This window comes from Homo sapiens, chromosome 8 (assembly GCF_000001405.40).
Source record: "Homo sapiens chromosome 8, GRCh38.p14 Primary Assembly".
NCBI classification, from domain to species: Eukaryota; Metazoa; Chordata; class Mammalia; order Primates; family Hominidae; genus Homo; species Homo sapiens.
The window spans coordinates 91,101,985-91,119,523 of record NC_000008.11 but is presented as its reverse complement, the minus strand read 5'-3'; the positions used below and the strand labels follow the sequence as shown (position 1 = coordinate 91,119,523).

At 37.1% G+C, this 17,539-nt stretch overlaps 1 protein-coding gene across 3 annotated transcripts in view; it reads right to left on the bottom strand.

Moving 5' to 3' along the window:
- The window catches only part of LRRC69 (leucine rich repeat containing 69), a 116,639-nt gene extending 99,734 nt beyond the window's left edge, over window positions 1-16,905 (bottom strand). For 2 of the 3 annotated variants that reach the window (NM_001129890.2, NM_001354470.2), the window contains exon 1: window positions 16,680-16,905. In NM_001129890.2, coding sequence (NP_001123362.1) covers window positions 16,680-16,862 — 183 coding nt within the window. In that variant the 5' untranslated portion in view covers window positions 16,863-16,905. Of the gene's footprint in view, window positions 1-971; window positions 1,301-16,679 lie in introns of all 3 variants that reach the window. The other variant, NR_148895.2, reaches the window with a different exon arrangement.
- Window positions 16,906-17,539: the final 634 nt, after the last annotated feature.

Below are 17,539 nucleotides of genomic sequence, written 5' to 3'. Positions count from 1 at the left end.
ACCATGTGAAATTCTGAGCTCTGCAACCAAGAATGTAGCTTGGAGAAGAGGAAGAGAGTTCACATAAAAACCTCAACTTGTAAAGGATTTCAAAGTCAAAACTAAGATGAAGTGAGTGCGACTGGGAATATTCTTCATAGCATAGGATAACCAAAGGAAGATTCACTGATTGCCTTTAAATTCATAAATGTCTCTTAAAGACTAGGTAGTAGCATTTATACTCTGTCACCATGGCAAATACATCAGAGCTTCAGTGTAGATTACTTAAATTATACAGAAAGGTCCAGAAACACTGTAGCAAGGATAGAGTTACCTTTGAGAAATACCTCAAGCCCCAACCTAGATGTTTCATTAATTCAATTATGTTTAAGATATGTCTATGATGGTACTATTTCTGAATGCTAGAGGAAGAGTGAACAAGACACACAAGATCCCTCTCTACAATGCTTCTATGTTGGGAAGTGAGTCAGACAACAAATAAGTAAACAAATGAATAGTGTGTTAGTAGTTAGTCTTAAATATGAAAAAAAGACAACAAGATAATGCAATGGAAAGTAACTCAGGACTAGATTGAGTCATTAGAGAAGTACTCTCTGAGAAGATGACACTTGATGTAAGATATTTGGAATGCTTTGACAACATTGTTTCAAATGGTGTTTTACTAACAAAGAACTGCAGAAATAGCAGATATACAGAAAGAATGTAGGCAGTGTTTCATTAGTAACATTCTCTACGGTTATGTGTAGTTCCTGAAGGAAGGCTTTAGTCATATGACAGACAACTATTTGATAAGCTTTAAAGCTTGCATCTCTTCAGTAATTAAATGTAGAATGAAGTTCTATTGGTATTCTCTCTCCCTTGGAAATTGATATGGTTATAGATGGAAAGACACCATTGCTACTGATTGCTATAGATTGAAAGACACCATTGCTACTCATAGACCCATGAGCCACGGAATTATAGCAACTTACAATTAGAAGAATTTTTTTTTCCTTTTGAGACAGTCTCACTCTGTCACCCAGGCTGGCGTGCATTGGCATGATCTCGGCTCACTGCAACCTCTGCCTCCTGGGTTGAAGTGATTCTCATTCAGCTTCCCAAGTAGTAGGTATGTGCCACCACGCCTGGCTTTTTTTTTTTTTTTTTTTTTTTTTTTTTTTTTTTTTTTTTTTGCATTTTTAGTAGAGATGGGATTTTTGCCATGTTGGCCAGGCTGGTCTCGAACTCCTGGTTTCAAGTGATCCGCCTGCCTCAGCCTCCCAAAGTGCTGGGATTACAGGCATGAGCCACCGCACCCGGCCTAGAAGGAAATTTTACAAGTCACCTAGACCAACATACAGAATGCAGGTGGGCAATTATATACCTTCCCCATGAGCACACCCAGTAATGGGTAGCACTTTTATCTTGTTAGGAAGATCTAGCTATCTATATTTAATTTTTTAGTATTTAGGCTCTCTGAAATTTCTACCCAATTCTTCTCACAGCAATCATAATAAATATTTGCACTCCTTCTCTCTCACATAATCTTTCAAATTTTTGAAGATTGCTATCATATTCCCTCTAAATTTTTTCCATTTTCCCTTAACTATTTCCCTCAGGACATAATTTCCAGACCCCTGACCATACTGACCACTCTCTAATTTTTGTGAGCACCCCTCTCTGAAAAGATGGAGCCTATGGTGAGACAGGAAATCAGCTCTCATAGCACATATGTTAGTGGGACCACGGGTCTCCCTCTGGCGGATGACAACACTTCTATTATGCAGCCTAACATGGCATGTACTCTTTCAGCAACAAGGCACATTGTTGGTGCATAATTAGTTTTGTCTGTGGCCAATAAAAACCCCTAAGCTAACTGTCAAGCAGATATCCCACATCCTGGACTTGTGCAATTGAATTCATTTCTTAACCTAAATGTAGGAATTTACAGTTATCCCTGTAAAAAAAAAAAAAAAAAAAAAAAAGTGGATCTTGTTAGTTTCGGCTTCTAAGATAACTCCAGTGGATCACTCTAAATTCAAAGTATAAAACTGGACAATGCCCCCTGGACAAACTAGATCTGCTTCTCCCACTTCTCATAAACCTATGGCGGCCAAACATTGGAGCTACCTAGAACATCTTTCTCTCCCTCCACCTAAATTCAATCTGCCACCAAGTTTTAGTCTTAAAAATCCTTTTAGATGTACCTTTTTCAGTTCTATCTCATTGCAATGAACCTAGTACTCATTACTGCCTGCCTGTAGCATTACATAGCAAAAGATGTAAAGAATGGATGTATTGTGACTTAAATTCCCTTTATTCAATCCTACTAGATTGTATCTAAACAGCTGCCCAAAAGATGAACCTATAATTTCTCTACCCAGTATATCCTAAATGTTTCCAACCTCCCTGTAGATAGTCTTTTCTATGTCTTTGTATACTTGCTCCAAATACTGTCTGTCTATGCTCTTACTAAATTTTATCTGATTTGTTTGATTGTATTGACCCACTCATACCTGAAAGTTATAGCCTATCTGTGGCCTGCCTTAAAATAGGCATGTGCACTTTCTCTTACATCTTGGATATGAGGCAAGCATCTCAATGTCCATTGATGCCTTTGGATTATAGAATCTAGGTTCAATGTATAGTGATATTTTTAATAAGTAAGAGAGAAGACAAGAAATTTAAGGAGAAAACATACAGATTATTAATGACAATACTGACCAATACTTAAATTAAATTTAAATTAAGTGCCAAATATATGAAACACTGTGCCAAGCTGAATTTTGTCTAATGTGGACCTCGCAATAACCCTGATCTTACAGAAAAGGGATCTGAAGTCCAGGCTATGATTTATGGTGAAATGACCTAGGTTCATTCTACGGCCTATATTCCTAACTCCTACCCTCCACTGTCTTCAGTAATACACTGCGCATCTTTAAAAGGAATTTACTATTGCTCAGAATGATCATACATATGCACATGATACAAATATATATATATATGTATACAGACACATATGCTCACACACATACACATGCTCACAAAATGAAATGGAATACAATACATGAAATTCTCATTTTAAATATCCTTGTCCTATCATGTGCACATTCTTGAGTCTGTATTGTGCAGTAGGCAAAGCACAGGCTGTTTGCTATGCAATGTACTGAATATGTGATCTTGGGCAAGTCACTCAAATTCCTAAGCCTCTATTTCTTTATAAAAATGGGGATACTAGCATTTACTTCTTAGGGTTGTCTTAAGGATTAGAGACAGTTTAATAAAGTGCCAGGCAAATAGCAGATATTATTAAATGGTAATCTTTTAGGCCCAGGAAAATACTGTGGGGTAAAATGTTAGCCATACCTGGTGCTAGAAATGCAGTAAACACCTGATACACACACACATACACACATACATACATATTGACACTTTACTAGTTTTCAAATTTAAAACCTGCTTATTTTCTTAATTTCTAACTCATTTTTTCAAACATTTCTAAATTCACAAGCACTCTTTTATTAGGCATAGGTTATAAACCATGATTAAATTACACATATATATTCATTACCTGGCTCACGGTGAAGAGACATGTATGTTAGGCTTACCTGCAGGAGTGATACCTGTAAATATGAGTGGGATTGGCAGGATCTCCATGTGCAGGGTCAACCACAGGCAAGGAACCTGAAGCAGCCTTGCTGGAAGTGCCAAGGAACAACTCCAGGGTCAGCTTTGTTTCACCCTCAGAACTCACTAACCATAGTTAGGAGCCACAGTCACCAACAGCAATTCTATTTTCCTCTCCTACTTGACTGAATTTAGAAAATCGCTTTGATTTACAAATTGCAAAAAGGGAGATATCTGATAGAAACTAAGAGATCTTCCCAGATGTTTGGGCAAAAATTTAAGAAACATTTAGACTGGAAAAGTTTAAAGAAATATTCCTGCATACTTTAGTACATAGAGAACAATGCATCCCATTTGCTGAATTAAGCCTAAACTCTTAGCTCAGAAACTGGTATGACTAATAGACACAGTATTTTAAAAAATAGTATTTCTTTCCACAGAACCTTTAAATACACAATCCTGCTGTGACAAAAATCCACCAGTGCTGGGGACTGGCTGGACTGTCACTACTGACTATGCATGTATGAGCTACCAGTTAGCCACAGTTCCTTCCTAGTCCCTTTTTCTCATATGTTACCTGCCTGGAGGCATGTGTTTTCAACCTCTGAATAAAATAGATGGCCTGCAAAAGAAAATCTCATCCTATTATTTAACAGCTTTCTCCACCCATTTATCTCAAACTGTTTCTTGTAACTTCTTCTCTGTGTGCGTATGTATGATCAGAACACTTCAGATCTACCCCTTGAGCAAATTTCAAGTATACTATACAATATTAACTATAGTCACATCATTGTGCATTAGCTCTCCAAAACTTATTTATCTTACATAACTGAAACTTTGTGCCCTTTGACCTACATCTCCCCTTATCTCCCTCTCCCTAGACCCTTGTAGCCACCATTCTACTCTCTGATTCTGAGTCTGACATTTTTATATTCCATGTATAAATGAAATCATGTAGTATTTGTCTTTCTGCATCTGGTTTATTTCACTTAGTATAATGTCTGCCAGGCTCATCCATGTTGCTGCAAATGATAGAATTTTCTTTTCTAAATCTAAGTAATATTCCAATGCATATACAGTCATGTGTCACTTTACTATGGGGACACATTCTAAGAAATGCATCGTTAGGCAATTTTGTCATTGTGTGAACATCATAGTACTTACACTAACCTAGATGGTATAAGCCTACTATGCACCTGCTATAAGCCTACTATGCTATGTGGTATAGTCTATTGCTCTTAGGCTAAAAACCTATGCAATACAGCATGTTACTGTACTGAATACTAAAGGCAATTGTAGCATAATGGTAAGTATTTGTGTATCAAAAAGTATCTAAACATAGAAAAGGTACAGTAAGAATACCGTATAATCTTATGGGACCACTGTCATATATGTGGTTCACTGTTAACTGAAATGCTGTTAGGCATCACATGACATATGTGCATACATACATATATATATACACACACACACATACACAAACATTTTCTTTATTCATTTGTCCATTGATGGACATTTTGGTTGTTCCCATATCTTGGCTATTGTGAATAACGCTGCAATGAACATGTGAGTGCGGATACCTCTTCAACATACTGATTTCATTTGCTTTGGATATATACCCAGAGTAGGATTGCTGGATCATACTACTATTAATTTTTTGAGGAATCTTCATACTCTTTCCATAATGACTGTACCAACTTACATTCCTACCAACAATGTACGAACATTTCCTTTTCTCCACATCCTTGTGAATACTTACTTTTTGTCTTTCTGATAACAGCCATTCTAACATGTGTAAAATAATACTTCACTTTTGTTTTGCTTTGTGTTTCATTGATGATTAGTGAAGTTGAGTACCTTTTCATATACCTATTGGCTATTTACATGTCTTCTTTTGAAAAATGGCTATTCAGGTCCTTTACCTTTTTTTTTTTTTTTTTTTTTTGAGACAAGTCTCGCAATGTTGTGGAGGTTGGTCTTGAACTCCTGGTCTCAAATGATCCTCCTATTGGCCCCTTTACCCATTTTTAAATCAGGTTATTTGTTTGTTTGTTTCTTGCTATTGAGTTGCACGAGTTCCTTATATATTTTGTATTTTAACCACATCATATATATGCTTTGCAAATATTTTCTCCCATTCTGTAGAATGCCTTTTTATTCTGATGATTGTTTCCTTTGCTGTGCAGGTTTTTAGTTTTAAATTATCCATTTGTCCATTTTTGCTATTGTTGCTTTTGTTTTTGGCACCATATCCAAAAAATCATTGTCCAGACCAATGTCAAGAAGTTTTTCCCTATGTTTCCTTTTAGTAGTTTCACAGTTTCAAGTGTTACATTAAAGTCTTTAATCCATTTTAAGTTGATTTTTGTATACCATATGAGATAAGGGTCCAATTTAATTATTTTCCATATGGATATCTAATTTTCCCAACATTTATTGAAGACACTATCCTTTCCCCAATGTGTGCTCTTCGCACCCTTTCAAACATTAGTTGATCATACATACGTGGATTTATTTCTGGGCTCTCTATTCTGTCCCATTGGTCTATGTGTCTGTTTTTATGCCTAAGACACACTGTTTTGATTACTGTGGCTTTGTAATATATTTTGAAATCAGGAGGTATAATGCCTCTAGCTTTCATGTCTTTGCTCAATATTGTTTTGGCTATTCAGGTTGCTTTGTAGTTCCATATGCATTTTAAAATTGTTTTTTCTATTTTTGTGAAGAATACCATTAGGATTTTGATAGGAATTGCATTGAATATGTAGATCACTTCCAGTAATATGGACATTTTAATAATATTAATTCTTCCTATCTATGAAGGGATGTCTTTCCATTTACATGTATCTTTTTCAACTTCCTTTATTAATGTCTTATAATTTTTCATGTATAAATCTTTGACCTGTTTGGTTGTTTGTGAGTACTTTATTATTTTTATTGCTATTGTAAATGGATTGATTTTTTAATTCCCTTTTCAGATACTTTATTCCTTGTATATAGAAATATGATTGATTTTTAGTATGTTGATTTTATAACCTGCAACTTGACTGAATTCATTTATTAGTTCTAACGGTTTTTTATTGAGTCTTTAGACTTTTCTATGTACATGATCATGTCATTTGCAAACAGAGATAACATTATTTATTTTCTGATTTGGTTGCCTTTCTTTTTCCTTATTTAATTGTTGACTAGGACTTCCAGTACTATGTTGAAAAGTAGAGAAAGTAAGTATTCTTTCCTTGTACCAGATATTACAGAAAAAGCTTGCAGCTTTTCCCCACTGATGATGATGTTAGTTGTGGGAGTCTCATATATAGCCTATATTGTGTTAAGGTAAATTGCTTCTATACCTATTTTGTTGAGAGCTTTAATCATGAATGGATGCTGAACTTTGTCAAATGCTTTCTCTGCATCTATTGTGATGATCTGGGTTTTTTTCTTTCGTTTTGTTAATGTGTTATATCACATTGATTGATTTGCATATATTGGGGTCCTTGGCAGTAAAAGGTGCTGCAGTGCTGCTGATCTCTTTTCCTTCTATCAGGGGTAGTTGTGGCCAAGGGGATGCCCCTTGGTGGTAGGTCCAGCACATGGGCATGTTTGGGCCACAGAGATGCCACTGTCAGAAGTGCAAGTGCATGCAGAGCAGCCGCAGAGCTGGGTCTGGAGCACAGGTACATGCAGAGTGATCACGGCTTTGAGGTCCCAGGTCACAGCCACTTCTGAATGACATTTTCATGGAATGAGAAAAATGGCCACAGAAGGACTGTTAATTTTGCTGGATAAAAATTCTTTATTGTTTCTGCAGTAATGATGTGTTTCAGGATTCTGTTTTCATTAAATACTAACAATATCTTGGTTCTCCAATAATTATAACAGATTTTCGTGCTTAATGCTTCCCCTTGAGATTTACCATCTTCCCCATGAAGGCATCCTCCTTTTGCATTTGCATAGCACGGTGTACTTTCTATTATCAATTATTATTATTTATATTATAATGACTTGTGTATATATATTTTTTATTTTTTTCACTTTTAAGTTCAGGGGTACATACATGTTCAGGTTTGTTACATAGGTAAACTTGTGTCATGGGGGTTTGTTGCACAGACTATTTCGTCACCCAGGTACCAAACCTAGTAGCCATTAGGTATTTTTCCTGCTCCTCTCTCTCCTCCCAGCTTCCACTCTCTGATAGGCCCCAGTGTGTGTTATTCCCCTCTATGTGTCCATGCGTTCTTATCATTTAGCTGCCACTTATAAGTGACAACATGTGGTATTTGGTTTTCCATTCCTGCATTAGTTTGCTAAGAATAATGGCCTTCAGCTCCATCCATGTCCCTGGAAAGGACATAATCTCATTTTTATTTTTCTATTTATTTTTTTTGAGATGGAGTCTCACTTTGTCACCCAGGCTGGAGTGCAGTGGCACGATCTCAGCTCACTACAACCTCCACCCTCTGAGTTCAAGCGATTCTCCCGCCTCAGCCTCCCGAGTAGCTGGGATTACATGCGCCTGCCACTGTGCCCAACTAATTTTTTGTATTTTTAATAGAGACGGGGTTTCACCATCTTGGCCAGGCTGGTCTTGAACTTCTGACCTCGTGATCCACCCACCTTGGACTCCCAAAGTGCTGGGATTACAGGCATGAGCCACTGTGCCTGGCCCATAATCTCATTTTTTATGACTGCATAGTATTCCATGGTATATATGTACCACATTTTCTTTATCCAGCATATCACTGATGGGCATTTATGTTGATTCTATGATTCACATGTATATTTTACCTCTACTATTAAATAGGAAACTTTCCAATGACAGGGTCTGTGTGTGAATCATCTAGCATTCAAAGAACAATATCTGGAATATAATAGTTGCTCAATAAATATTAGTTGAATGATGCCTGCTTAGATCATCTCTGTAAAGACTCAAACTATGGAATAGTCATTATGGCTCCACATCAGTTTTTATTTTCAAAATCAAGTATCTTTTGAGCTTAATCTGTTCTAATTTGCCCAGCTTTATTTATTTCCTTCTAATGAGCTGCATGCTTTCTTTATTCTAGCCTGCTCATTCTCACTAGCCCCTATATTCAGTTCAATGTAGTGCATATCATATGTAGGCCTAGAACTTGGACCAGACAGCCTCTCTTAATATTTAATTATTCCATGCTTGTAGCTATTAATTATCACTAGAAAACTCTATGCTACTTATTATATATTTTAATTACTTGGTTTTGACTAACTTAGATAAACTCCCCCACTCCCTGGCCTTTTATTTGAGACAGAGTTTTGCTCTTATTACCCAGGCTGGTGTGCAATGGCATGATCTCGGCTCACTGCAACCTCCACCTCCCAGGTTCAAGTGATTCTCTTGCCTCAGCCTCCCAAGTAGCTGGGATTACAGTTATGCATCACCACACCCAGCTAATTTTGTATTTTTAGTAGAGATGGGGTTTCACCATGTTGGTAAGGCTGGTCTCAAACTTCTGACCTCAGGTGATCCCCACCACCTCAGCCTCCCAAAGTGCTTGGATTACAGGCGTGAGCCACTGCACCTGGCCAGATAAAACCTTTTTAAGTATTAAAAAAATTCTCAAATGTCCATCTTTATCTGGAAGACTGTCTTCCTAAACTAAATCATGGTTATACCATTTTGGAATAAACTATTTGATTATTTGCCTATAAGATGTATAAATATGTTTGAACTACTTAACTTCCTTAAGAAGAGTGAATCTTTAACTTCCTTAAGAAGAGTAAATATTCACATTTATTATAATCAAATAGTATATAATATACATGTCAGGTTCTGTAAACTATTTTGTAAAGGTAATCGAATCAAATTAATGAGGGAATAATAACGATTTTACATTTTTGAATTAGCATATGTATGGCCAACGTATGGAAGGAGGTTCAATTTATGGTTCAATCTGCTAATTCTTATCAATGCCTTTTTTTAAAGAAATCTGTGGCATCCTTAAAACCGCTGTTTAATACAACTGCCAAACTGCTTCTGAATCCAGCTCTTCCTGAAGGAATTTATTTATATGAATAACTGCCAATTTCAAAGCTACTATTTAATTTTGCAGTAACTTCCTAACAAAGTCATATTTCTCAAAACAATTATAATTTCACTAGAAATTGAGGGGAAGTTTCCATGGCCAGCATGTTATCTCATCTCTAGATATTTCATGGAGATCCCACAACCTCTTACTGCTGGCCCCTTAAATCCCAAAGTTAAGCTCAATGTCAAGAAATATAAGAAGGATTCTCTACTGGCATTAACATAAAAAGATTATCAAGCCATTGCCTTTTAATATGCCATCAAAAGCTTCATAAGGAAAGAATAAGAAGGAAGGACAAGAGTTTCAAATTATTAGAATTCAATTAAAATGTAAAATTTTAACATTCAATTAAAATGACATTCAATTAAAATGTAAAATCTTAAGTGTTTGGAAGTTTGAAGGTTCGGCTAAAATTTTCTATGTAAACAATATGGATAAGGCATCCTATATTAGGTAGATAACAGTGATGGCAACTTTAGGAGCTAAGAATGACGAGGCCCACTTTTCAGATGAGTCAAGGCAGGTCTACAGATAGAGTATATCAGTTTTTCCACATCACTAGTGAAGGAAAGAAGAGGGCTGTGTCTTTTCTAGACACCTGCCAGCAGAGAGAGAAGCTGCATTTCCAGCAGGGGTTCAAGAGACCTTAATATATGCCTTGGCATGAAAGCAGAGGCAAAGGAGACATGAACGGTTCCTGGAGAGAAGGTACTATGTGCCCTTGTACCAGGACAGGACACAACAAAACAGGATAATGAATCCCTGTTTTGATAGCCAGGCTTAGGAAATAGGAGGCATTACCTAATTGATGGAGAAAGAAGAGATTTTCAGTGGATGGAACAGGAGAAGAGAAAGGCTTGATGCTGACAAACAGTATAAATGACATGGATCTTCTCTGTTCTGCTTGGGTTAGAAAGTGAGACCAGAATGCCCAAGGAGGAAGAGTTACGGGAAGTCTCTGCTCATGGTCATTCCTTTCCTCTTCCTCTGCATAATTTTTTCTTTATCAGGGATGTCCAATTCTTTGGCTTCCCTGGGCCACATTGGAAGAAGAATTATCTTGGGCCACACATGAAATACACTAATACTAATGATAGCTGATGAGCTTAAAAATAAATAAATAAATAACAAAAACATCTCATAATATTTTAGAAACATTTATGAATTTGAGTTGGGCCACATTCAAAGCCGTCCTGGGCCGCATGTGGCCCGCGGGCCACGGGTTAGACAAGCTTGCTTTAGATCTTAACTCAGTTGCACGTTTTCACAATCACCTTCTCTGACTTCTCTGACTAGAGACTCTCATAGCACAAGACTTGTCTGACTAGAGACTCATAGTACAACACAATTCTCCTTTACAGCACTTTTCACAATTCTCCTACATCACGAGTGTAATATTTCACAATTGTAATAATACACTTATTTGTATGTTTCATTAACTTTCCCCACTAAACCTATTAGGGACATATGAATGATTTTGTTCCTTTTTGTACTGCTGCCACCTAGGAGAGTGCCTACTCCACTGCAGACACACATAACTAGTTGTTTAATGTATGAATGAATGAAGTTGATTGGGTTAAAGGGTCATTAAGGACAGCAAAAGTATGAAAAGGAGAGATTAAGGACACAATTAGTAAGTTTATAAACTACTCAAATCTGGTTAGAGTTGGTCTTATTTACTGTCAATTGTTTATGGCCAAATAAAAAGCTATGGCAGACCATATCTTTGTCCTGGTCAGCTGCACATGTGAGCAGCTTAAGGGGAACTTTGCCACACTGCCGTTGGACTTTATGATACATGTCAACAATGCTGCACACAATTAGAGATGATGGCTATTTGTTTTACCTGTGAGGAACCTTTGTTCCTACGTGTGTTTGGTTAGGCAGGACTTTGAAAATTACTTCCATTTCACTCATGTTGACATTATATGAGTTAGTAAGTAAAAAGCAATAGGGATGAGACAAGATCTTTGCCCTTAAAATTCATAAAGTGCTTCTCTGAAAATTGTTGACATCCCCATATTTCAAGAGCCACAGTCCAAATGCATTCACCATAAATTATAGGACATTAACCCATTTTGTTCATTGTCATTAGAAGTGACTGAAATTTTCCAGAGCTTCACTAGTTAAATTAGCAAAGAAAAATGGAAGTAGGATCTAAAGTAGGTTCTTTACTAAAGAACCCCTACCCCCTCATTTTATCATTGTTGCTAGTCATATCATAATGGTAACACTAATCATAATAGCTAAACTGTATTTAAAGCTTCTACATGCCAGCCATGGAGCTTTAAATATATAAACATTTAATTTAATCACCAAACATGAAGGCAGGGACCACACTTTGTACACATCTATATCCTTGGGAACAGCATAGATGCAAGAAAATGAATGGTAAATATTTGTTAAAAGAATCACTATGGGCCGGGCGTGGTGGCTCATGCCTGTAATCCCAGCACTTTGGGAGGCCAAGTGGGCAGATCATCTGAGGTCAGGAGTTCAAGACCAGCCTGGCTAACATGGCGAAACCCCGTCTCTACTAAAAATACAAAAAAAATTAGCCAGGCATGGTGGCAGGTGCCTGTAATCCCAGCCACTCGGGAGGCTGAGGAAGGAAAATCACTTGAACCTGGGAGGCGGAGGTTGCAGTGAGCCGAGATCACGCCACTGCACTCCAGCCTGGGTGACAGAGCAAGACTCTGTCTCAAAAATAATAATAATAACAATAATAATAATAATAATACAAGAATCACTATGGGCTAGGTGGGGTGGCTTACACATGTAATCCCAGCACTTTGGGAGGCTGAGGTGGGAGGATTGCTTGAAGCCAGGAGTTCAAGACCAGCCTGGGTGACAAAGTGAGACCCGGTCTCCAAACAAAAAAAAAAAATTTTTTTAATTAGCCAGGGGTAGTGGCACACGCCTGTAGCCCCAACTACTTGGGAAGCTGAAGTAGGAGGATCACTTGAGCACAGGAGTTCGAGCCTGCAGTGAGCTATGATCACACCAGTACACTCCAGCTTGGGTGACAGAGCAGGACCTGTCTCTTAAAAGAAAAAAAAATATGCAAACAAATGGGAGGAGAGGACAATGCATGTAGTGTTCAGAGCAGCCGTCTTTAGGCAACTCAGTTTTTAAGAACTATAAATTGAACACCATACCCTGATAAATTTCACACTAAATATATAGAATAATAATACAATAGAGCCGAAAGCAACCTCCAAGGAGACCTCATTTTATATTTACTGGTTGAGTGACCTTTGACAAATGATTTAACCTCTTCCTGAACCATAAATTTTATTAACAGTATGAGGGTAATAACTTCCTTGCAAGTTGTAGAAAATGATGAGCTCCTGATACTATGCTTGGCTCCCAGTGAATGGTTGATGTTGTTATTCTATTAGCATTTTATGAGTACAGAAATTTAAAAGTAGTGTTTTTGTTTTAGGAACTTAAAAACAAATCAAGACTATGTTAATACTTTGCATTCTGTGGGAAATATGACCAAAAAATCAGTATATTGGGGCAAACTGGACTTCATATGATGATAAAAGGCTACTTCAAAAGATAAACACTGTAGACATAAAACAAAATGAAACAAAAGTCATAGGTAGATGGGTAGCTTTAAACATTACTGATAAACGGTATGACTATAGCCACATAAGAAAGAGTTCAAATTAACTTTAAAAGTACACGGGAATTTTAGAGAAAACTGTTAGAATAAGAATTATAATCACTGAATTTTGACATACACATCACCAAGTTATAAAGCCCACAAGAGACACTCTGTGGCATCAGTCAGGTCAGCTGAATGTCACAATACACCCTGCCCCTTCTCTCTGCTTTATTTTTCCCCTTAACACTAATCACCGCCTCACGCCCTATTTTGCTTATTTGTTTCTTACATCATTCCTGACTAAAACATAAACTCTATGAGGGCAGAGATTTCCACCTGTTTTGCTCATCACTGAATCACCAGTTCTGAGTGCCTGAGACACAGATGGTCCTCATTGCTTATTTGTGGATTAAATAAATGAAGGCAGAAATTGAGGCCCAAAGAAACTAAGTGCCTTGTATATAGCTGGTAACTGCTGAACCAGTTAAGTTGTGCCAGCACTTCTAAACTCTCCTTTTCAATTCTCTAAGCTGTCTCTTTCTTTGAAACCTTCATCTGCCTTTCCTTTTTTTTTTTTTTTTTTGAGACAGAATCACTCTGCAGCCCAGGCTGGAGTGCAGTGGTGCAATCTCAGCTCACTGCAACCTCCCACATTCCGGGCTCAGGCAATCCTCTGGGACCAGAGGCACGTGCCACTGTGCCTGGCTAATTTTTATTTTTTTGTAGAGATGAGGTCTCACTATGTTGCCCAGGCCAGTTTCAAACTACTGAGCCCAATCAATCTGCCCACCTTGGCCTCCCATACTGCTGGGATTACAGGTGTGAGCCACTGCACCGGGCCATCTGCCCTTTACTACCAACTGTGAGACGGATGGAGCTGTATATCTGAACTCTATGATAATCTACAACCATTCTTTGAGGGTTTCTAGCACATTTTATCTAGCATGCTTCTAGAACTCCCATTACATAGGGAAAATTGTGTTTTTTTTTCCAAAATTCCACAATTTCTCCAAGACCCTATATAAGAAAAACTACTAGTTCATGAACAGCTAAACATAATACCATTGGCCTGAATCTGACTTTTAAAGTACTTTAAAGACAGAATAGACTATAAGCAGCCTAGTTGCAAATCAGTTGAATTCTTAGTGGTGTAATTTCTTCTTTAAAAGTAAGCACTGGGCTGAGACAGCTCCCTGGTGAAGGAACTAAGAGTGAACAAACAGAAGTCAACACGTAGGTTACCCCTAAATAGAAGAATGAGAGGGCAAGTAACAAAGGGAGCCACAAGAAGAAGACAATGTAATGATAATCAGACTCTTGGGGCTTTTTCCTATGGAAATATATCTTGGAATGTGTAACTTTTTACTAAACAACTATTAACCAAGTGTGAGACAAGAATACAGAAATTTTCAGATATGCAAGGGATCAAACAATTTAACTACCACATACCCAGACTAGGATGATTTCTCGAGACTCCTGAAAAACTAAGAGAGCAAGCCAAGAAAGGAAAATACAGGATACAGGAAACAGTGGGTCCAATTTAAGAGAGCAACAAAGGGAATGTCCTTGGCTGACAGTATCTAGCAAACCTAGATAGCAGTCAACATAGAGTGGGGCAGAGGATGGAGGGTCTTAGAGGGAAGTCTCTCAAGGAAAAGTACATTTGACAGAAAAAAATTATACAGTTTGAAATAAAATGAGGCTACCATAAAACTAAGGCACAAGAACAAAGGAAAGGTTATTAGAAACTCCAAGGGAACAAAAATGGCATATAAGAAAGAAAATATAATCATAGATTAATTGACTCCATGTGAATATTTATTTATTAGTAATATATATTTTTAGAAGTTTAGAGTTACCCAAGACACAAAACAAATATTTAATTATGGTTATAACTGAATAGGATATAAAAGCTGTAAGTGTTATAAAAGTAAAAACTTCAGAGTTTGTGAGGGGGGAGAGGAAAGGACAGCTGAAGGTGGATTACAAAGGCTGACACTGTCATCTTACGAAGTGGGGAGTCAAAAGAGACTGCAGTTGATGAAGGAAGAAATAAAGGTGTAGTAACATTACATGTAAAAGATACCTGTAGACCTAATCCCCTGATTCCAGATGTGGATCAATACACAATAGATACATTAATATAACTGTATCTAGAAGATGAAGAAAAATGATGCCAAAAATAGACAAATCAATAAAATAGATGAGTTAAAAGTGGTTATATATGGAGATCGGGATTGAGGATGAGGGGAAGTGGGATAGAAGATAGCTTCTTGCTATAAGCTTTTTGTAATATTTAATTCTCGGTAACCAATGGTTAGTACTACTTTAATGGAAATAAATTCAAATAGAGGGAGAGAATAGGTTCATGACTCAGTCAAGTCCCAAATTCTTTTGCAAAGAAACTCCTCTTTCCTATTAAAAAATTCCAAGTCCTTGTTGTCTTGTAACTACAAGTATACCTTCTGCAATTACTAATGAAGGGGGACTTTGTAAAAGTTACCCTATTTCTTATAAAGATACAACTACAGATTACAAACTCAATTTCTTAAACGTAAAAGGAAATGAGGTAGGGTGAAAGTAAGAAAATACAGATTTATTTTTTGGAACTGTAAATTCAAAATTAATGAGCTATAACGCCTTAGCTGCTTCTAGGTTCTTCCTGTGCTGATGACAATTCAGCAGTGAACAAAAAGAAAATTACAAAGTTAATATCCCTTGCCTTCTCTCAACCTCAAGATTTTTGGCAGCTAGAGTTTCACATTGTTAGGCAGAAAGGTTTAACACAAGCATATGGGATTCATTCATGTCAACTATTCCTCTTTAAAAAAGAATATTTTTTATTTAAAATATTAAACTTCCTTTAAAGACTATTTCAGGAGAAATAAATGTCCCCTCCTTCCTATTCCCTGCCAACACTCCATTTCAAAGTTTCAGCCTGCCCTAGGAAATTGAAAAGGAACTCCCTTGCTGCATCCTAAATGTCTCTTCATTCTAAATGCAAAAGCTTCAGGACAGTCCCCAGGGTGAACAGCATCTCCTGGATCCTCAAAACTACTTCCAGATGTAAGCCCCCAAGATAGACGACCAGATCCAGGTTTCCAACCCCTTTCCAGATGACAGCCTCTAAAAAGATGAGTGTGGCAGAGACCTAGTCCCCTGACTCCAGATGTGGGCCAAAGAGCACATGAATAAATTGAAACATCTCTCCCTACCACATGGAATTCCCTAAGGGAGAAAGCCTTCTGATGCCTCTCCAGCAACACTCCACATTAAGTCTCCAGATACCTAAGTCTCCATAGATCGAAGTGTTATTGTTCTGTCTCTTACCCCTTTTTTCTCTCTTCCTGTTTTCCATCTTCAATACCAAACCACAACAGCAAAACACTGTTCCTCACCTGGGTCAAGTTGCATAACTCTGGACACACTTTGGGGATTAGGTTATTCTGAAGGACTAGAGTCTTCAGGCCAGGCAGTTTTCCTAATGCTGAGGGCATCTTTGTCATCTTCTTCCCATTCAAAGTAATGATCTTCGTATTTTTACCACCACTCAATGCTTTTATTAACAATCTCTCAGTCATGATCTTGGAAAAGAAGTAGAAAACAAGGTAACCATTAGAGTTCTTTATTATACAGCTTTAGAACCTCTAATTACAGAATTGGTGTGTCATAGAAACAAGAACATTCTGAGATCCACCATGTTGAAGGGGGGAAGCATTAGATTATTTTCCTATGTGAAAGATACGAAAGGAAAGTAGATGGTCCAGGTTTGGGGCAGGAAATGTATAATGTAAGCCTAAAATAGCTTATGCCTGCGATATTAAAGCTATCAGAGATTAATGAGGACACAGAAGTGAACTTCTAGGAGCTCCCACTAGTCTAAGATGGAAAATATTAAGGATCAGAAAGAAATAATCTAGAATAGACTGAAACATATCAAAACACATTAAAATCTGAGTTCATAATGGCATTTTTTAAAAAGAAACATTACTCACCCTGGGAATTACTAGCGCACCAACTCAGTCTGAAAATTGATAAAGGAAAAAATATAAGCATTTATTCTGCTTTTCCAGTACAAACTGCACTTAAATATAACTTAATAGTTAATAAAGTTCTTATTCACAAGAATTGAAACTAATAAATGAGAAAGACAAAATAACTAGAATAATCACAATTTTTGCAAATTCTAATAAAATAATGGAGCTATGCAAAAATCATAATTGGAGACTGAAAGTATTAGATGAAAGGTTGATGAGGA